The 23,242-nt window shown below is 35.2% G+C and overlaps 1 long non-coding RNA gene across 47 annotated transcripts in view, besides 1 other annotated feature; it reads left to right on the top strand.

Annotated features, from left to right (window-relative positions):
• NR2F1-AS1 (NR2F1 regulatory antisense RNA 1) overlaps window positions 1-23,242 on the top strand; it is a 176,234-nt gene that overhangs the window by 62,914 nt on the left and 90,078 nt on the right. For 3 of the 47 annotated variants that reach the window (NR_197198.1, NR_186200.1, NR_186201.1), the window contains one exon: window positions 21,516-21,719. The exons of the other annotated variants lie outside the window; for them this stretch is intronic. This is a non-coding gene — a long non-coding RNA (NR2F1 regulatory antisense RNA 1). The remainder of the gene's footprint in view (window positions 1-21,515; window positions 21,720-23,242) is intronic. 47 annotated transcript variants of the gene reach the window in all.
• Window positions 16,976-17,476: an enhancer, noted in NCBI's record as "H3K4me1 hESC enhancer chr5:92840906-92841406 (GRCh37/hg19 assembly coordinates)". NCBI's record gives its function as "activates a minimal SCP1, AML or CMV promoter by ChIP-STARR-seq in naive H9 embryonic stem cells {active_cell/tissue: H9 hESC(naive)}" and the evidence as "EXISTENCE:reporter gene assay evidence [ECO:0000049][PMID:30033119]".

Raw genomic sequence — 23,242 nt, 5'->3', positions numbered from 1 at the left:
CTGTCTAACCAGTCCCAGTGAGATGAGCTGCATACCTCAGTTGAAAATGCAGAAGTCACCCGCCTTCTGCGTTGATCTTGCTGGGAGCTGCTGACCAGAGCTCTTCCTATTCGGCCATCTTGCCAGCCACCCACCTCATTTCACATTCTATGTTTGTACTAAGTGGAAAATAAAAATTGCCCATCATACTGTTCATTTTTAGTAATTGTTGTATTTTTAAAAAAGGGAATGAATTAGTAATACCCTCATTCTTTAAATTTATCAACAAACAGTATGGAACATTGCACATTTATACTATTGACTCTTTTTTTAAAGTAACTTTTAGGTTCGGGGATACTTGTGAAGGTTTGTTACATAGGTGAACTCATGTCACAGGGGTTTGTTGTACAGATTATTTCATCACCCAGATATTAAGTCCAATACCCAATAGTTATCTTTTCTGCCTCTCTCACTCCTCCCACCCTCCACCCTCAGGTAGACCCCAGTGTCTATTGTTCCCTTCTTTGTGTTCATAAGTTATCATTTAGGTCCCACTTAAAAGTGAGAACATGTGGTATTTCGTTTCCTGTTCCTGCATTCGTTTGCTAAGGATCATAACATCCAGCTCCATCCATGTTCCTGTGAAAGATATGATCTTATTCTTTTTTATGGCTGCATAGTATTCCATGATATATATGTACCACATTTTCTTTATTTAATTTGTTATTGATGGGCATTTAGGTTGATTTTATGTCTTTGCTATTGTGAATAGTGCCGCAATGAACAGCCACATGCATGTGTCTATATGGTAGAATGCTTTATATTCCTCTAGGTATATACCCAGTAATGGGATTGCTGGGTTGAATGGCAGGCTTTTAGCTGTTTGAGGAATCGCCATACTGCATTCCAATGGTTGAACTAATTTACATTTCCACCAATAGTGCATAAGTGTTCCCTTTTCTCCACAACCTCACCAGCACCTGTTGTTTCCTGACTTTTTAATAATAGCCATGCTGACTGGTGTGAGATGGGATCTCATTGTGGTTTTGATTTGCATTTCTCTAATGATCAGTGATCTTGAGCTTTTTTTCATATGTTTGTTGGCTGCATGTATGTCTTCTTTTGAAAAGCGTCTGTTCATGTCCTTTGCCCACTTTTTAATGGGGTTGTTTGTTTTTCTCTTGCAAATTTGTTTAAGTTTTTTATAGATGCTGGATATTAGACCTCTGTTGGGTACATAGTTTGCAAATATTTTCTCCCATTCTGTAGGTTGTCTGTTTGCTCTGTTGATAGTTTCTTTTGCTGTGCAGAAGCTCTTAAGTATACCTAGATTCCATTTGTCAATTTTTGAATTTTGTGTTTTGGTGTTTTTGTCATAAAATCCTTGCCCTTTCCTATGTCCAGGATGGTATTGCCTAGATTGTCTTACAGGATTTTTATAGTTTTGAGTTTTACATTTAAATCTTTAATCCATCTTGGGTTGATTTTTGTATGTGGTGTAAGGAAGGGGTCCAGCTTCAATCTTCTGCATATGGCTAGCCAGTTATCCCAGCATCATTTATTGAATAGCGAGTCTTTTCCCCATTGCGTGTTTTTGTCAGCTTTGTCGAATATCAGATGGTCATAGGTGTGTGGCGTTACTTCTGGGCTCTCTGTTCTGTTCCATTGGTCTATGCACTTTTTTTGAACCAGTACCATGTTGTTTTGTATACCATTGACTCTTAGTGGGTGTTTAGGGAATACAACATGTAAAATGTAAGTATTATCTCATCTGTTTATTGATGAAGTATTGTGATGTTTCTAAGTGCTTCATTTTGTAATTTTAATTCTTATTTTGGTCAAAGAAATAGAAAAATCACAGCTTTCTTTGGGGGGAGGCTTGCAATATGTAGAAGCTGTATTTTATATGGTCACAGAAGGGGAGTACTATATTATTCTGTTTTTTCAGCTGTGTCTATCACCTTCCTTTTGCTCATTTAAATAATTTCCTTTGTTTTGTTTTTGATGGAAGACGAGAATTTATTTGGATTCATTAGAGTCTCTACCATATCTGGTACAAATCTACTTGAGAACAGGCCATACTTCTCTTGAAAAATTTCCTGGAGTTTATAGGTTGAAAATCTGGTCCTAGATTAAATACTTTCTAATTCAGATAAAGTCATTCTTCATTCAGTAAAACCTGTATACTTCCTCTTGTTGAGTGAAAAAGGACACTATTAATAAAATAAAATTATATATTTTTTGTTTGAGCTTATTAAAATTTCAGTGATTAGTCTACTTTTAAAGGAATGTTTCTTTGAGTAATTGAGCATTGTCAGTATGTGAAAATGGGACTGTGGATTTGACAGCTTTTTGAAGTGGATTTGGTGTTCTTCAAAAAGAGCACAATATGGAAGTGTTCATTAACAAAAAAGTGGAGAGTAACCAAAACAAATATATTTCCAGGCTTCAAAGATGCAAAAGTAAACAACTAATCCTGACTATTAAAAACTAAAATTTAAGCAAACTTTAGTTTTAAGCATGTGGAAACTATTACAATAATAGGTATGCGTGTAGTTCAGTTTTTAAATAGGTAGATCATATTTTTCTCTTTGATTTATGTGATTTACATGGAATTTAATAGGATCTATATATTACTGAAAATAGTAGTGAATGTGAATTTGTCTTTTTAAAGCTCTCTGATTCTTAACATTGAGACCTTAGATACTGTGATGCTTAACTGTCTTTCCATAAATAGAGAGGATTTTTAAAAACCTCTGCTAGGAGAAATGTCAGTTTATACTGAGTCATCATAGATGAGTAATATTCTAGAATTTCTTTCTTTTAGTTTAGACTTCTTAAATGTTATTTTGTCTAATTTTTCAAACACAGTATATTGTATTTTAAGTGTTATGTTGAAAATGTGTAGTAGCAGTTGTTGCAGAATTTTTTTTCTGTAGAAGATCACACATTTCTTGGAATCAAGTTGGATATTTTTCTTTTTGTTAAACATTAAGAATTACTGGGCAATAGCAGCAGACATGGTGATTCTAACATGCATGTCTAAATAGAAGCATTGTTTTAGAGGTCCTTTGGAAATATCCTTTGGAAAATTTAATATACACTTATATATACTTTCACATTCTTTGATGGGGGTTATGTATACACTGACAACTAAGTTATTACCAAAACATACAGTGTAGAAATAGAAATTAAGGGTCCTTTCAGCATCATGCAGTGTGGGCAATTATTTGAGATATATTCCCACGTATGTGAATATTAGTGTGGCTATATATCTTTATGTTTTCTATTTTAATGATTTACACAGTGGAGTCATATCATACATTTGCTTTACTTAAATACATATGCATATAAAGATTTGGCCAAAAAGAAAGAGAAGTTAAAATATTTCGCTCAATGAATGTGTGCCCTGGAATGAATGTGAGATGTAAATCTGCTATTCCTGTCAGTCTCAGTTCTTTTATGTGTGCTAGGCTGAGTGTGTTTCTAGGGTTTAAAGTTATGTATTTTTTTTATATACAGTATGAAATACAAGCCAACTAATTCATCTAGTACACAACCAAAGTAAAAAGATAACTGGTATGAGAGAAAGTATGTCAGTCTTCAACATGACATTGCCTTAAGGGATTTTGACCATATGCAAATTTTTCTTATGTGCTGACTTTAGATTCTAATCTCTCAGAAAGAGGCCACTTAAGTGTAGTGATTTTTATTGTGTTTAATTAAAAATTTTTAATAGTCTGGTAGACTGTGTTAATCTACTTTAAGTCTACTTTAATAAATTTCTTCACCAGTCTGTACCATGATGATCTCTTAGATGTACATCTTAGGAAGCCTGAAGGAGCATAATACTGTGGATGAAATTATCAGCTTTGACATCAGTCCCCTTTCAGACCTGACCAGTTTCTTTACTGCTACCACCCTATATTATGTGGAAATGGTGGTTTTGTTTTTATATACTTAAATACCAAAATGCTTTCAAAATGCATATTATTTAGTATTATCTGTCATAATTGATACTAAATAGTTGAAGATTAAATGAGAAATGTAATTATATCTGTGTCACATAGATATAATTGTTACCATTTTAAATATAAAGAAACTGAAGTACAGATGAAGGCAAATGTATCATCTTGGAAATAAAAAATCTGGGTTCATATCTTATTTCTGAAATTGTATGATCTTTGGAAAATCCCTTAGTCCCTGCTTTCTTATCTGTAAAATGGGGATCTTATCTCCCTGAAAGGGTTATTGAAAGAATTGAGTGAAATCATCATTGTGAAAATACGTTGAAACTGTAAGGTTCCATACAAAGATAAAGCCAGAATTGTAGTAATCCAATACACTACCAATTGTAAGACCATCAGTCTAATAACATTGAAAAAGAGCAGTTCATTGGTCATTCTACTGTTTCTACACAGCCTCAGGTCTGGAGACACTAGGTCTACTTACCACTAGGTCTGTATCACATTACTAACATTTATCATAAAAGCAATTTTGAAAAACTCTTGTTCTCATGAGCCTAAATTTCAAAGGTAATTTTAGGCCTGTAATATATTGTGGAGGTCTTTTGAATAATAATAATTCAAAAAATCTCAGAGAAGGTGGGCACAGTGGCACATGCCTCTAGTACTAGTTACTCAAGAGGCTGAGGAGGGAGGATTGCTTAAGCCCCAAGATCAAGGCCAGCTTGGGCAACATATCAAGACCTTGTCTCTTTGAAAAAAGAAATCCAGATAATGAATGGTTTTTTTAATCTTATTTTTCCTTCTAGTTGAAACTTATTCAAGTTTGTAAACTACAAAAAGTGGTATGTAATAGGTCACCCACATAGTCTCATTCTTCCTACTTTAACCCAGTTTTCCCTAGAATATGGCATAAAAGTATTGGTGGCCAATTTGTTTATATCATTCAACTCTTCTGATAAGAATATAAATAAATGTGATTAGTTATTACATTAAAGTTTTATGGCATGCATATATGACTGATGGTGTTACCTGATTATTATTGCTTAGTAACATTGTAAATCTGTAAGAAAAGTACCTACTTCATTCTTTTAAAATTTGCTTCCCTTTCTAATGAGATCTTTGAGGATATTCTGCAATTACATAGTTATATTTTTTAGTCTGAAATATCTAATACAATGTATATTGAAATAATGTGATTATACTCTGAGACATACAACAAACAAATAAAACTAACAAAAATTAAACTAACAGGAGAAAATGTGAAAAGAGAAGTATATAATGAAGTAAATTAAAAAAAAGTTTTGATTAGGATTGTAAAGAACTAACAGGAGATATCACCAGCATGTTTCTTACTTGGTGCTTTTCTTTCAGGAAAAGTCTTATCAGCTGGAGAAAGTGGCTCTTTTATTTGAACTAAATTCTGGTTTCTCTGAAATCAGATTTTGTATTCCCAAGGCTCTACTCTACAATGCCAGCACAAACATACATCAGCAGTTGTATAGTACTTTAAAGACTTAGCAAGAAAGTATCAAACAATTACTTATTCCATTTTGAACCTGAGGATAACTACAAAAATCTTACTGGAGTTTTAGGGAAGATGATAATAAGACAAACATACTTTATGAGAAGTATATATAAAACAATAATGTGAATTGATTGATAAGATTGCATTTTATCAGTGAGAGATTCAGGAAAATATCTTTATTCTTCAATAAAAACTATATAATAGTTTGTATTAACTGTGTAATTGAGTGAATCTGCTGTTAGATTTATTTTTGAGTCTGGTTAATAGGTGCCATTCTAGTAAATTTATTGTTGACTAGTGCATTGCATGGTGGAAGAAGAAATGTAATATTCCAAATGAAATAGTGATATTTCTTTTCTGATAATATAAAAGACTCAGATTATTCTGTCCTAGTTTCTAAACTCACAGAAATACACTGCTAGTTTAATATTTGGTGTTGCCACTATGTATTTTAAATACCTCTAACTTTACATTACTGTTTGTGGTACAATGAAAAGATGAAGAGTCAGAACATCTGGGTTACGGTCTTGGATTTTCTGCTTATTAGTTTTGTATCTCTGACAGTTCACTTAACTTTTTTGGCCATTAATGTTCTCGTTTGTAAAATAGGGCTAACAGTATTATACTTACTTATATAACTTATAGGGTTGTTGTGTAGCTTAAATGAGAATTTATGTGGAAGTGCCTTGTAAATTATAAAGTACTGTTTAATATACCATCTAAAATACTTTCTTTAGAATGGGAAGGGATATAAAGAAAAACAGTACAAATGTAAGTTATTTATTATTATTTCTTTTTACATTAATATGAGAGATATCAACCATACTCTTTATTAGAAAGGGTGAGAACACTTCAGAAAGGTCAACTGTTTTGTCTGTTGTCAGAGGATTAGAGAGAAGTTTAATATGGGCCATAGATTTCAGGTCATGTTTGTCCTTATATTTAAAATTCCCTTCAGGTTAGAGTCTTGTAATCTTACCTTTTGACCTTGTTTACTTCCTTTGAAAACACTCTGTAAGTGTGTTTGTGTGGAGTATATATAAAATGCACATACACATTTTGTCTGGATGTTGAAAAATACTGCAGTAGGCATAACAAGAAGTAGTTCCTTTTGAGGAGAAGACTTCATTCATTCATTTTTTGCGCAGTTATTTGTGTCAGGCACAAATTGTCTTTGCTCCAATATTTGACCATATTAACTATGAAAACTTGGCCATCAGTTTGTTGGTTACATGGTTATTAATTTCTGTTCTTACTATGTACCTTTTCAGCAGATCCTTGAAGTCTTCATTGGTTGTAGATATTGATAAGGGATGTACTCTGTTTTCAGTTTATTACCTTATGTTTAACCATAAATAAGTAAAAATGATATAAAAAAGAGACAAAAATGTTATGTTTCTTGGATGTACAGCTGCATGTGAGAAAGATCTTCTGGCATTATCTCTATTCAATCATCTATTTATTAAGGCCCAATTTATACTGCAGACAGGAAAGATTTTCTGAAAGTGAAGGGAAAAAATCACCATTTATTGTTAATATTATCCATCGATTAGCACATATTTATTGATCACATATTCCAAGCCAGACACTATGCTAGATGTTGAGGATAAAGTAAATGTAAAAATAGACATGGTTTCTGTCCTTGCTTATAGTCTAGTAGAAGAGATAGATGTTAATCAAATAATTTCAAAATTAAGTTTAAAAATTAAAACAGCCATAAACACTAAGGAGAGGTATGTGATCTTATGAGAACTCACATTTGAGAGAAATAGAAAAAGTAATGATGGTACATATTTGAATGATGAAAAGAAGTGGAGAACTACCATTAGTAATCTATAACATTATTACAGATATCTTATATATCACAGGGTTCTAGTGTAAGAGTTTTGATACAATTATGGTCAGGAGTAACTATCCCACCCATAATTAGCTAGGTAAACTTAAGCAATTTTGATATAATAAAGAATGATTTGAAATCAATTTAAAAAAATAATGTTAAAGATTAGAGAACAAAACCCACAGTTTCACTTCATACACTTAAAATCAGTGGAATAAGTCCATATGCTAAATTATCTCTTTACACATGTCACTTTATTATATATAGTGTTTCTTTGCTTGAAAAGTAGGAAAATATGACTTTGGGAACTAAGAAGCTTGCCAAATAAAGTTCTTCCCTTAAGATATCAATGGAAGCATTAAAGCATTAAAAATTTATATTATTTCTTATTGATGTTTTTACTTTTGTTGAAATTTAACCTTATAGAGGGAACCCATTAACTTCACTTTAAATTTTGCTTTGTTACATGGACTATTTATACTGTTTGAATCACAGAGCTTATAAGAAATTTAAAACATTTTTAAAAAGGATATTTTGGTTTCATGAAATAACAATATTCTCCTTTTCTTCATTTCTTTCATAAGCAAAGCTTAAATATCAGCTTAAAGTTCTAAAAAATTAATTGGTTAGCCTTTTTGATTCCTAATTATACTCTTGTATAATATTAGATCTGTTTCCTCAAGTACAGATTCAGTGCATCAGCAAGAATTGCTCCAACTAAAATGCTTTTCTTAAGTGAAATAAAAGAGATATGTTAATAATACTTAAGTTCTTATTGATTGCTGAATGGCAAGTAATTTATAAATAATGTCAGCGCTTACATACTCTCAGTCTTTCTCCTAGATTTGCAGGGGAAACTGGCCAGACTTTCTGACAGCAGCTTTTACTTTATCACTCATAGAGCTCCCTGAATGAATTTCATGTTTAATGGGTGCTGGAGGTAAAAATCCTTTGGCAGGTTGGAAGCTGGAGGAAGAAAAATGTATGTCTTTGAGCTGTATGCTTTAATCATGAGGATAGTGTAGCTTATATTCATGTTTCCTTTTTCATTTGGATTTAGGTTTATCAAAGAGTAACAATTTATTGCATGTTTAGTAGTTGGAATGGAGTATGCAGCATTGGGTGTTACTAGAAATACCAATTGAAAAATTTTTTTCTCTTTTTCCTCTCAATTCTTGGACTTAAAACAAGTGTTCCTGTAAGTAGTCCTGTATTTAACATCCAGCAGTGTTATGCTGACTTTGAATATATAATAGAACATGAAAGGTAAGTTGTGTTTCAGACTGCATTGTAATTATATACTGAACTACACTGTAATCCTATCTATCAAATCCTGGTTTATGGTGTTCTCATGAGGGTCAACTATTGTAATTAGAATTAATGAAACATAAAATGCTTTTTCCTTTTTGGGTAGGGGGGATTCTGTTCCCTTGTACTTTACAAGCTTGAATCTTCCCATGTGCTAAAAATAGTACTTATGTTTAGTAAGAAAAATATTGCCTTATTAATGTTGGGAAGCTAATTAATTCCAGGAGACATTAAAGAATAATTTCATCTTTTATTTTAGATTCAGGGTTACATGTGCAAGTTTGTTACCTGGGTTTATTGCATGATGCTGAGGTTTGGGATGTGATTGATCCTGTCAACCGGGTAATGAGCATAGTACCCAGTAGTTAGCTTTTCAGCTTTTGCCCCCTGCCTTCTCTCTCCCCTCTGGTAGTCCTCAGTGTCTATTGTTGCTGTCTTTATGTCCATGAGTACCCATTGTTTAGCTCCCACTTATAAGTGAGAATATATAGTGTTTGTTTTTCTGTTCCTGCCTTAATTCACTTGGGATAATGACCTCCATGTTGTTACAAAGGATTTGATTTTCTTCTTTTTTATGACTGCATAGTATTCCATGGTATGTATATACCACATTTTCTTTATCCAATTCACTATTGGTAGGTAACTAGGTTGATTCCATGTCTTTGATATTGTGGATGGTGCTGCGATGAACATACAAGTACATGTGTCTTTTTGGTAGAACAGTTTATTTTCTTCTGGATATATACCCAGTAATGGGATTGCTAGGTTCAATGGTAATTCTGTTTTAAGATTTTTGAGAAGTCTCCAAACTGCTTTCCACAGTGGCTGAAGTAATTTACATTTTCTCTAACAGTGTATAAAAATTCCCTTTTCTCTGCAGCCTCACCAGCATCTGTTGTTTTTTTACTCTTCAATAATCGCCATTCTGACTTGTATGAGATGGCATCTCACTGTGGTTTTGATTTGCCTTTCTCTGATGATTAGTGATGTTGAGAATTTTTCATATGTTTGTTGGCTGCTTGTATGTCTACAGGAAACGTTTGTTAACTGTGTTAGTGAAAGTTCTCAAGAGAAACAGAACCAACAGGATATACAGTCATGTGTTGCTCAAAGATGGGGATATTTCCTGAAAAATGTGTCATTAGGTGACTTTGTCCTTGTGTGAACAGCATAGAGTATACTTACGCAAACCTACATGGTATAGCCTACTACACACCTAAGCTATATGGTTTAGCCTGTTGCTCCTAGACTACAAACCTGTACAGTGTACAAACAGCATGTTAATGTGCTTAGTACTGTAGACACTTGTAACACAATGGTAATTATTTGTGTATCAAAACATAGAAAAACTACGATAAAAATACAGCATAAAAGATAAAAAATGGTACACCTATATAGGGCACTTACTGTGAGTGGAGCTTGCAGGACTGGAAGTTGCTCTGGGTTAGTCAGTGAGTGAGTGGTGAGTGAATATGAAAACTTCGGACATTACTGTATAGTACTGTAGACTTTATAAGCACTGTACACTTAGGCTATACTAAATTTATAAAGAAATACTTTTCTTCCTTCAAAAATAAATTAACCTTTTTAATAAATACTTTAAATAAAGTTGATAAATTAACGTTTTTACTTTATAAACTTTTTAAAAACATTTTGACTCTTTTGTAATAACAGCTTAAAACACAGTAACACTTAGCTTAAAACATAAACACATTGTACAGCTGCACAAAAGTCATTCATTTCCTTATTCTATGAGCTTTTCCCCTATTTTTAATTTTTTTACTGTTAAAACTTTTTTATTAAAAACTAAGATACAAATACACATTAGCCTAGTCCTACCCATGGTTAGGATCATCAATATCGTTGTCTTCCATCCCACATCTTGTCCCACTGGGAGCTCTTCAAGGGCAATAACATGCATGGAGCTGTCATCTTCTATGATAATAATGCCTTCTTTTGGAATATCTCCTGAAGGACTTGCCTGAGGCTCCTGAAGGAGCACACTGTAAAATAACAATAAAAAGTCTAGTATTAGTTGATACATAAGCCAGTAACATAGTCATTTATTATCATTATCAAGTACTATGTACTATATATCAGTGGTCCCCAACCTTTTTGGCACCAGGGACCTAAACGTGGAAGACAATTATTCTGTGGACCAGGGATGATGGGGCATGGTTTTGAGATGAAACTGTTCCACCTCAGATAATCAGGCATTAGATTCTCATGAGGAGTGTGCAGTCTAGATCCCTCGCATGCATAGTTCACAATAGGGTTTGTGCTCCTGTAAGAATCTAATGCTACTGCTGATATGACAGGAGGTGGAGCTCAGGTGATAAAGCTTGCTTGCCAGCTGCTAACCTCCTGCTTTGCGGCCCAGTTCCTAACAGGTGACAGACTGGTACTGGTCCATGGCTTGGGATTTGGGGACCCCTGCTGTACATAATTGTATGTAGTACATTATGATGGCTACAGTGTCACTAGGCAATTGGAATTTTTCAGTTCCATATAATCTTTTGAGACCACAGTCATATATGAGATCCATCATTACCTAAATATTGTTAAGTAGCACCTGACTGTAAGGAACATTTATTCTGAGGAATTAGCAGAGAAGTCCTGTGATCTGCTCCTTGCAAGCTAGAGACCTAGGAAAGCTGGTGGTGTAACGTGATTCTGAATCTGAAGGACTGAGAACCAGGTGAGCTGATGGTGTAAATCCCAGTCCAGCAGCAGGAGAAGACCCACGTTCTAGCTCAAACAGGCAGGCAGGAAGCAGAAAGCTGTGAATTCTTCCTTCTTTCACCTTTTGTTTTATTCAGGCCTTCAATTAATTGGATGATGGCCAACCACATTGGGGAGGGCAATGTACTTTACTGAGTCTACTGATTCAAATGCTAATCTCATCTAGAAATGCCCTCACAGACACACTCAGAAGCAATGTTTAATCTTAGCACTCTGTGGCCCCATTCAAATTGACACATAAAATTAAGCATCACATGAATTTAAGTTGTATGTATATTTTATGAAAGGTGATAGAGGTCAGGAATGTCTCAATAATTTTGCCAAAAAAATTAACAAGTAGAAGAGAATTACTGCCATTTCCTGTCATTTATACCACCATCCAAAATAATTTAACCCAAAGCCTTATTATGTAATAACAGTTGTGCAGGTCAGTTAGAACAATAATAAACAATCAAACTTCTCCAATCTTGGCATTTCTGTCATACACTGAGTGATGTAACTAAGAGTTGTATGGATGAATAGCACAGAGAGACCTAATTCTTCCGCATTCTTTGGCTGCATGATAACTTGGAGAGAACACTGAATGAATTGATGTTCCTGGCTAATATATGTTTTAGATTTTTGTGAATTAAAAACATTAATGTGAGCAAAGATGCAACTTATATAGAGAATCAGTTTTCTCTCCAGAGTCTTGGGATATCTAAAAGAAAATAGCTGGAGGATTTTATGTGTTGATTATAAGACCCATTAAAAGTCACAAAAAGCTAGTAGAAAAGCTTCCATTTTTGAAAAATGAGGTTCTTTGAGAACCATGGATCATTGACTAGCCGATCATGTATTTACTTTCTTCTTTCTTTTTCTGTCTTTTCTATGGGCAAGGAGGAGGAGTTAGATGCCACTAAGGGAATATGGATTTCAGATGTGCAGAGTTTTGACACTTTGATACAAAGGAATGATTATCCTAAATAACTTATTACATATGCATTTGAAAGAATAAATGAAACTTGATTAAAAGTTCTAAACTTAAAAGAATTGCAGTGAAATCAGAGACTCTTTAGTTCAGCCTGTACGAATGAGGAAACCTAGATAAATAGAACACACAAAGTTAATATAAACTGGTACTAGAAAGTTAATAAAAACTGCCATGACCCTGGGTCCAGTGCTATTTTCAGTATTTTATTTAATGTATTTTTAATCGTTCTAACTTACCTGTAAGATAAATTCACGTTTGTCTCCATTCTATTTACAATCTAAGTAAAATAACACATTTTTAGATATTTTGGTTGGATCTTTGAAAATTAATTGTAAAACATCACATAAATTAGGAACTCTACAAGCATATTGTATCATTTTTTTTGCTCTAGTTTCTTATTTTCTCAATGTTTTACATATTCATCGAGACTATACATAAGATAGTTGATCTCTTGGGTTTAGCTCTACAGGTATAAAGATTTAAATACAGTTTACTTTCAAAAAGTTATTTAAATATTTTAAAAAGGAAATGCTTCAAAGAAATGAAAATAAAACATTTAAAATAGGAAATATTAAAAATTTTAAATAGGGAAAAATTTCAAACATACTGAAAAAGCAGACTAACCAATATTAACAATATTTTAACCAAATTTAACAATGTTAAGTATTTTGACATGTTTGCTTTATATTTATTTTTGTTGTAAAGAAATAAGTGTTCATAAAGACTCTTGAGTTCCTTCACATCCCATTCTGTCTCATTTTACTTCTCCAGAGATAACCACTTTCCTGAAGTTGGTATGTATTCTTCCTCCAGCTTTATATATTTGATTGTATGTATTTATATTTATGTATTCATAAATTTATATACCTGCTCTACCAGTATGGTATCTGCTATAGCCACATGTGGCTATTTAAATTAATTAAAAGAAAACACATTCAGTTTCTTTGGAGTACTAGCCACATTATAAGTGTTTAATATTCTTTAATATCCACATATCGCTAGAGGCTGCTGTATTAGACAATGCAGATACTGACCATTTTCATTATTGCAGAGAGTTCTGGTGTATACTATTGTTTGCATATTCTTAAACTTAACATAAATCATATCATGCTGTACACATTCTGGAGCTTGTTTTTTTACTCAGCATTCTGTTTTTGAGATTTACCTACAGTGATACACATAGTATCCTTTTCTCAGTGTTTTATTATATGAATGTACTGCATTTTATTTATTCACTTATTTACAGATGTTTAGTCTATTTCTAGGTATTAAATGTTAAAACAATGCTGTAAGGAACACTTTTATCCTTGTTCCTTTGCCAGGTGTGTGTAAAAGTTTCTTTAGGGTGTGTGCTTGTTGGTTGTAATCATTATCAACTTTGCCTGATGTAGCCAGTCATTCCCCAAAGTAGCAATACCAATTTATGTTTCACCAGCAGTGGGTAAGATTTCCTTTTCCTCATATACTTGCTTATACTTAATATTATTAGAATATAATGTGAAATGTTGTTTTATTTTCATTTGCATTTCCCTAATAGTGAGGATGAACAACCTTTCGTATGTTTATTGTCCATTTACATTTCATTTCTTTTGTTTTTACCTTTTTCTTTTTTATTTCATTTTTTTATAATCATTCATGTTTGGTCATATGCATTGTAAACTTGTACCATTTTGTGGTTTATCTTTTTACTTTGTGATGTATCTATTTATAGAGGTTTCAAAACTTACTGTGTAAATATTTTTGGCCTTTCCCTTTAAGGCTTCTACTTTTTTGGGTCTTAAGAAAGCTTTTCCTATTTTGATGTCATATGGTTAATTTTCATTTTTTCTTCTAAAAATGTTACAATTTTGCTTTCTAGCCTTAAGTTTTAAAAATCCACCTGGAGTTTATTTTGCGAGATGGTCTAATTTTTTTTCCGTATGTAACTAATTTTCTCAGTATCATTATGAAAATAACTTTTCGTTTCCTCAATGATTTGTATTGCCAACTTTCTAATATAGCGTACCAACAATATTCAGTACCAAATTGCCATATATACGTGGTTCTGTTTCTGGGTTCCCTATTCTGTGTGGTTGATTTGTTTATCTCTATGACAATATTATGCCATCTAAATTATCATAGCTTTATAATAGGATGATGGCTGTTAGGATAAATCGTTCCACCTTGTTCATCTTCTTAAAAAGTATCTTATTTTCAGTCTTTTCTTTTACATGTGAATTATAGGGTCACATTGTCAAGTTCTGTTAACAACCTTCATGGAATTTCTAGTGGAATTGAATTTATAGAAATAATTTAGTGAGAACAGACATTTTTATGAAACTGAATTTTTTTCATCTACCAACATGGTATATGTTCCCATTCATTTAAGTTTCCATTTATGCCTGATGTTAAAGTTTTAGAATTTCCTCCATAGAAGTTTTAGTCAGATTTTGTTAGATATATTCTAGGTACATTATGATTTTGTTTCTATTGGAATGAGATGTTTTATTATATTTATGCTTGGATATTGCCTCTGTGTAGGAATGCTATTAATTTTTTGTATATTGATCTTATTCCCAGTAACCTTGTTGAATTGTCTCATTAGTTTTGACAGTTTGTAGATTCTCTTGGATCTTCTGTATAATCATGTTATTTGTAAATAATAATTTTTATTTTTTCAATTCTTATACTTTTAAAACTGGTTAGGGGCTGGGCATGGTGTTTCATGCCTGTAATCCCAGCACTTTGGAAGGCCGAGGCAGGCTGATCACCTGAGGTCAGGAGTTTGAGACCAGCCTGGCCAACATGGTAAAACCTCGTGTCTACTAAAAATACAAAAATTAGCTGGGCATGGTGGCAGGCACCTGTAATCCCAGCTACTTGGGGGGCTGAGGTGGGAGAGTCGCTTGAACCTGGGAGGCAGAGGTTGCAGTGAGCCGAGATCGTGCCATTGCACTCCAGCCTGGGCAACAAGAGCGAGACTTCGTCTCCAAACAAAACAAAACAAAACAAAACAAAACAAAACAAAACAAAAAAAACCCCAAATCCCAAAAAACTGGTTAGGATTTCCTGTATAGGCCTAACTAGAAGCAGTACTAACACACATTTTTATCTTGTTTCTGATTTTAAAGAGAATGCTTTAAAATTTTACTATTAAATATCAGGTTAAGAGAATTTTCTTGTATTCTTAGTTTGCTAAAAGTTTCTTAATATAATATATGGATGTTGAATTTTTTTTCCTGTGTCTTTTGAAATGATCTTATGGTTTTTCTCCTAAATCTGTTAATATGGCAGATTACATTACTAAATTTAGCAATGTCAGTCTATCCTTGAATTCCTGGGATAAATCTTACTTGATTATGACACAGTTAAGTAGATATGTGTATGTAGACATAGACATTTAGATGATATAGATGGACACACTTTGCTTGACTAAATCAATTAAATTCATTAATTTATGTTGAATATTTTCATCTCTATTAGTAAATGAGCCTGCCTATAGTCTTTTCTTATCCATTTTTGCCACGTTGAGATTATACTAGTTGATATGGTTTGGCTGTGTCCCCACCCAAATCTCAACTTGAATTGTATTTCCCAGAATCCCCATGTGTTCTGGGAGGGACCCGGGGGAGCTAATTGAAACATGGGGGCTGGTCCTTCCCATGCTATTATCATGATAGTGACTAAGTCTCACGAAATATGATGGGTTTATCACGAGACTAAGTCTCACGAAATATGATGGGCTTGCTTGTTCCTCATTTTATCTTGCTGCTGCCATGTAAGAAATGCCTTTCACCACCTGCCATGATTCTGAGGCCTCCCCAGTCATGTGGAACTGTAAGTTCAATTAAACCTCTTTTTCTTCCCAGTCTTGGGTACATCTTTATCAGCAGCATGAAAATAGACTAATACAGTCAATTTGTACCAGTAGAGTGGGGTGTTGCTGAAAAGATACCTGAAAATGTGGAAGCGACTTTGGAAATGGGTAACAGGCAGAGATTGGAACAGTTTGGAGGGCTCAGAAGAAGATAGGAAAATGTGGGAAAGTTTGGAACATCCTAGAAATTTGTTGAATGGCTTTGAAAAGAAGCTGATAGTGATATGAACAATAAGGTCCAGACTGAGATGATCTCAGATGGAGATGAGGTACTTGTTGGGAACTGGAGCAAAGGTGACTCTTGTTACGTTTTAGCAAAGAGACTGGTGGCATTTTGCCCCTGCCCTAGAGATTTGTGGAACTCTGAACTTGAGAGAGATGATTTGGGGTATCTGGAAGAAGAAATTTATAAGCAGCAAAGCATTCAAAAAGTGACTTGGGTGCTGTTAAAAGCATTCTGTTTTAAAAGGGAAACAGAGCATAAAAGTTCCTGATGATTCAGTAGCCTCATGATGCAGTAGAAAAGAAAAACCCATTTTTCTGAGGAGAAATTCAAGCCAGCTGCAGAAATTTGCATAAGTAGCAAGGAGCCTAATGTTAATCCCCAAGACCGTGGGGAAAATGTCTCCAGGCCATGTCTCTAGGCCATGTCAGAGACCTTCACAGCAGGCCCTCCCATCACAAGCCTGGAGGCCCGGAAGAAAAATGTGGTTTTGGGGCCAGGCCCAGGGTCCCCATGCTGTGTGCAGCCTAGGAACTTGGTGCCTTTTGTCCCAGCCGCTCCAGTCATGGCTGAAAGGGGCCAATGTAAAGCTTGGGCTGTGGCTTCAGAGGGTGGAAGCCCCAAGCCTTGGCAGCTTCCCAGTGGTATTGAGCCTGCAAGGGCACAGAAGTCAAGAATTGAGGTTTGGAAACCTCTGCCTGGATTTCAGAAGATGTGTGGAAACTCCAGGATGCACAGACAAAAGTTTGCTGCAGGGGCAGGGCCCTCATGGAGAACCTCTGCTGGGGCAGTGCAGAAGGGAAATGTGGGGTTGGAGTCCCTACAGAGAGTTCCTACTGGGGCATTTCCTAGTGGAGCTGTGAGAAGAGGGGCACCGTCTTCCAGACCCCAGAATGGTAGACCACTGACAGCTTTCACCATGCACCTGGAAAAGCTGCAGACACGCAACATTAGCCTGTGAAAGCAGCTGGGAAGGGAGGCTATACCCTGCAAAGCCACAGGGATGGAGCTGCCCAAGACCATGGGAACCGACCTCTTGCATCAGCATGACCTGAATGTGAGACCTGGAGTCAAAGGAGATCATTTAATTTGACTGCCCTACTGGATTTTGGACTTGCATGGGCCCTGTAACCACTTTGTTTTGGCCAATTTCTTTCATTTGGAACAGCTGTATTTACCCAATACCTGTACCCCCATTGTATTTAGGAAGTAACTAGATTGCTCTTGATTTTACAGGCTTATAGGCGGAAGGGACTTGCCTGGTCTCAGATGAGACTTTCGACTGTGGACTTTTAGGTTAATACTGAAATGAGTTAAGACTTTGGAGGACTGTTGGGAAGGCATGATTGGTTTTGAGATGTAAGAACATGAGATTTGGTGGGACCAGGGGCAGGATGATATGGTTTGGCTGTGTCCCTACCCAAATATCAACTTGAATTGTATCTCCCAGAATTCCCATGTATTGTGGGAGGGACCCAGGGGGAGGTAATTGAATCATGGGGGCTGATCTTTCCTGTGCTATTCTCATGACAGTGACTAAGTTTCAGGAGATCTGATGGGTTTATCAGGGGTTTCCACTTTTGCTTCTTCCTCATTTTCTCTTGCTGCTGCCATGTAAGAAGTGCCTTTTGCCTCCCACCGTGATTCTGAGGCCTCCCCAGCCATGTGGAACTGTAAGTTCAATTCTTTCAATTCTTTTTCTTCTCAGTCTCGAGTATGCCTTTATCAGCAGCATGAAAATGGACTAATACCCTAGTCTTATAAGATGAGCTGGATAGCTTTTCCTATTTTTTATTCTCTGGAATATCATGCTTAAAATAGGGGTTACCTGTTTCTTTAAGATTTGGTGATACTTGTCTATAAACTTTTGACTGAGGTTTTCATCATATTTTTGACTGCTGAATTAATTTCTTTGATATCTTGAATATGTTCATGTTTTCTATATTCTTCTTTAGTCAAATTTAGTTTGTTTGTACAGAATATTCCAAAAGTCTTAGTGCAGTTTTAAGCTTAAATGACTTCAAGAGTATAAATGACATGGACTTATACAACAATGATCTGCAATTTATTTAACTTTTTTTGAATTTTATGGCTTCTGAATAACAAATTGTAATTTTTTGTTCCAATCAGTATTTGCCATATTTAGAGGAACTGAAACAAAAAATTAGAATTAAAAATTTATTATTAAATTTCTTTACAAGATTTTTTTTCCTCCTTTTTGTCTTGTGCAATTTATTTGTTGAGGAAACCAGCTTATTAGTCTGCAAAGTTTCCCACTGTCTTAGGAATTCCTAGACAACCCCCAGATTCAGTGACTCACTAGGAGGACTCACAGGACTCAGCATATAGCCATGCTCATGTGTGATTTATTATAGCAAAGGATACAAAGCAATACCAGTAAAGGGAAAAGGCAAATGGAGCAAAGTCTGGAGGAAACCAGCCACAAGCCTTGAAAAGTCCTCTGCTCATGGAGTCACACAGGATGAACCTAATTCCCTCAGGAACAAGTTGTGACAACACATGTGAAATGTCTACCAGGGAAGCTCACTGGAGACTTTGTGCCCAGGATGTTTATTAGAGGCTGCTTATCTAGGCATCCTCTGCCTGGCATATACAAAATTCCAGACTCTCAGAAAGAGAGGAGGTGTTTAGTTTAAACCACGTTGTACAAACTGTTTAGGCACAGTGACCTCTCTTATTAGTTCTGGGACTGGTGGCAACACTTCGAAATCCAAGTTCACAAGGCCAACATTGCAAACAGTTTGTTCTAAAAAACTTTTCTATTTCGAATTTGGGATTATAGAAGTTTTACTTAACATTTTTGGTTTTATGTTTGTGTTTTTTTCCCTCTTACGCTAAAACTCTTGGTTCCTAGTATAATAACATTAATGAAATTAATCTCTATTTTAATATCAGTGTAACAATACCAATGCTATTACTAACAATATGGTTACTGGGAAACAGTTTACAATTTTTTTACAGTTCTTTTGGTTCTTGCTGTATATCCCACTTAGAATTTATAATCAAATTACTCTGTTTAATGTCACTTGAAATAATTGTTCTCCATGTTTAAGCTAGCAACTTGATACATAAGTTAGTTTATTTCATTTTACTTTCAAATTTTGGGAATAGTTTTTAACATTCTTGATTCAGTTTTGCTTTATAATTATGTTAGAAATTTTTATAGTTTCAGAGTCAAAACTAGAAAATGAGGTAAATTTGGTGAAGTCTAGTTTCTATCCTTCTCACTTTGCCCTTTTCTCTCCTTTCCCATAGGTAAACAATGTAATTAGCTTTTGATTTATCTTTCTTTTGTGTCTGCTTTTAAAATGGAATTAAATTTGTATTGTTTTCTTAGATAAATGCAGGCATACTATTGACACTGTCCAGCCCCTAGTTTTTTTCATTTGATAATATTTCTTAGCAATTACACTATAACATTATATAAAATTCCTTACTAGCAGCTATTTCTTATCTGGCATGGGATTACCATCATACCATGGGCCCCAAACCTATCTTTAGGGTTTGATTGGTTATAGAAAACTTTTTCCTACCCAGAGCTTTTGGCAGAGAACTGGCAAAAAAACTGCTCTCCTGGGCTAGTGAGTAAATATTTTGTTTTTGCTTTTAATATCCCTTTTCAATGGAATAAGCCATCTTTTGAATATCTGAACCTTTTATTCAGGTACCTCAGTTATTTCATTCTAACTTCACTACTTACATGGGCCCCAAACCACATATCCTGTCCTGACAGATGGACCTTAAAACCTTAGCTACTGGCCCCTAGGTTCAGTTTCTACGTTATATGTTCTTAAGTTGTTATGCTGTCTGCATATACTCTTGTAACTTTGGCTTTGGGTTACCTCTTTGTTGAACCCTGGGTATTTCTAAGCTATATACCTTTTTTGGGGGTTAGATGTTTTCTAGCATTTCTCTGTGTTTGGAGAAAGCGCAGTTCACTGTCATGTTGCAAGTAGATCAAATGTGTTTACAGACATACCTCAGAGATATTGCAAGTTCAGCTCCAGACCACTGTAATATTAAAGTGGATATTGCGATAAAGTGAGTCTCACACATTTTTTGGTTTCCCAGTGCATATAAAAGTTATGTTTACACTATACTGCAGTCTATTTATATATGTGCAGTAGAAAAACATTATGTCTAAAAAAACAGTTTACATACTTTAATTTAAAAATACATTATTCCTAAAAATTGCTAACAATCATCTGAGCCTTCAGTGAGTTGTAGTCTTTTTGCTGATAGAGGGTCTTTCCTCAGTGTTGATGGCTGGTGACTGATCAAGGTTGTGGTTGCTGAAGGTTGGGGTTGCTGTGGCAATTTTTAAAAAATAAGACAACAATGAAGTTTGCCCTATCGATTGACTCTGTCTTTCATGAAAAATTTCTCTGTAGCATATGACACTGTTTGAGAGCATTTTATGCCACAATAGAACTTCTTTCAAAATTGGAGTTAGTTCTCTCAAACCCTGCTGCTGCTTTATCAACTAAGTTTATGGAATATTTCAAATACTTTGTTGTTCACAACAATGATACAATGTACATATAATAGCATCTTCACCAGAAGTAGATTCTATTTCAGAAAACCACTTTTGGCAGGGTATGGTGGCTCATACCTGTAATCTCAGCACTTTGGGAGGCAGAGACAGGTGGATCACTTGAGGTCAGGAGTTCGAGACCAGCCTGGACAACATAGTGAAACTCAGTCTCTACTAAAAATACAAAAATTAGCTGGGTATGGTGGTGGACACCTGTAATCCTAGCTACTCAGGAGGCTGAGGCAGGAGAATCACTTGAACCCAGGACACGGAGGTTGCTGTGAGCCCAGATTGCACCACTGCACTCCAGCCTGGGTGAAAGAGCAAGAACCTGTCTCAAAAAAAAAAAAAAATTCCCCCAAACAACAACAACAACAACAACAACAACAAAAACCTTACTAAAAAAAAAAACAACTCACTTTCTTTGCTCATTCATGAGAAGCAACTCCTCATTTTTAAAAGTTTTATCGTAAGATTACAGCAATTCAGTCACATCTTTAGGCTCTACTTCTAATTATAGTTCTTTTGCTATTTCTGTCATACATGCAGTTATTTCTTCCACTGACATCTTGAACCCCTCAGTCATCCATGAGGCTTGGAATCAACTTCTTCCAAACTCCTGCTCATGTTGATATTTTGATCTCCTTTTATGAAACATGGATGTTTTAATAGCATCTAGAATGAGAAATCTTTTCCAGAAGGCTTTCAATTGACTTTGCCCAGATCCATCAGAGGAATCGCTATCTATGACAGGTATGGCCTTACAAAATGTATTTTTTAATTAATAAGACTTGAGGTAGGGCGCAGGTGGCTCACACTGTAATCCTATCACTTTGGGAGGCCGAGGCAGGCAGATTGCCTGAGCTCAGGAGTACAGGAGTTCTGTACAAAAAATACAAAAAATTTGCTGGGCATGGTGGCACACACCTGTAGTCCCAGCTACTCAGGAGGCTTTGAGGCACTAGAATCTCTTGAACCTGGGAGGCAGAGGTTGTAGTGAGCTGAGATTGTGCCAGCATATTCCAGCCTGGGCAACAGAGCAAGACCCTGTTTCAAGAAAAAAAAATTTAGTAAGACTTGAAAGTCAAAATTACTCCTTGATCTATGGGCTGCAGAATGGATGTTGTATTAGCAGTCAAGAAAACAATGTGAATCTTTTTGTCATCTCCATCAGAGCTCTTGGGTGATCAGGTGCATTGTTAATGAGCAGTACTATTTTGAGAGGAATCTTTTTTTTTTTCCCCTGAGCAATGGGTCTCATTGAAAGGCTTAAAATATTCAGTAAAACATGCAGTAAACAGATGTACTGTCATCTAAGTTTTGTTGTTCCATTTATAGAGCACAGGCACAAAAGATTTAGCATAATTCTTAAGGGCCCCAGTGTTTTGGAATAGCAAATGAGCATTGGCTCCAACCTAAAGTCACCAGCTGCATTAGCCCCTAGCAAGAGTCAGCCTGTCCTTTGAAGCTTTAAAGTCAGGCATTGACCTCTCCTCTATAGCTGTGAAAGCCTAGGTGTCATCTTCTTTCAACCGAAGGCTGTTTCATCTACATTGAAAATATGTTGTTTGGTGTAGCCATCTTTGTCAGTGATCTTAGCTAGATCTTTGGATAACTTGCTGCAGCTTCTACATCAGCACTTGCTGCTTCATCTTGTGCTTTTTTGTTCTGGAGATGGCTTCTTTCGTTAAACCTCGTGAACCAACCTCTGCTAGCTCCCAATCTTTCTTTCGCAGCTTCTTCACCTCTCTTAGCCTTCATAGAATTGAAGAAAATTGGATTCTTGATGTGGATTAGGTTTTGGCTTAAGGGAATGCTGTAGCTGGTTTGATCTTCTATCCAGGCCCCTAAAGCTTTCTCTGCATCAGCAATAAGGCTGTTTTGCTTTCTTATCATTCATGTGTTCACAGGAGTAGCACTTTTAATTTCCTTCAAAAACTTTTACTTTACATTCGTAACTTGGCTGTTTGGCACAAGAGGCCTAGCTTTTGTCCTGTCTGGTGAGAGATGTGAGACTCTTCCTTTCACTGCAATATTTAGAGGCCATTGTAGGGTTATTCATTGGCCCAATTTCAATATGTTGTGTCTGGGAATAGGGAGGCCCAAGGAGAGAGAAACAGATAGAGGAACTGCTGGTTGGTGGAGCAGTCAGAATGTGTACATTTATTAAGTTTGCTTATGGGCATGGTCCGTGGTGCCTCAAACAATGACAATAGTAACATCAAAGATCACTGATCACAGATCACCATACCAGATACAGTAATAATGAAAAAGTT

Source organism: Homo sapiens, chromosome 5, assembly GCF_000001405.40.
Source record: "Homo sapiens chromosome 5, GRCh38.p14 Primary Assembly".
Taxonomy (NCBI): Eukaryota; Metazoa; Chordata; class Mammalia; order Primates; family Hominidae; genus Homo; species Homo sapiens.
The sequence above is the reverse complement of the archived record's forward strand: the minus strand, read 5'-3'. Positions and strand labels throughout refer to the sequence as shown.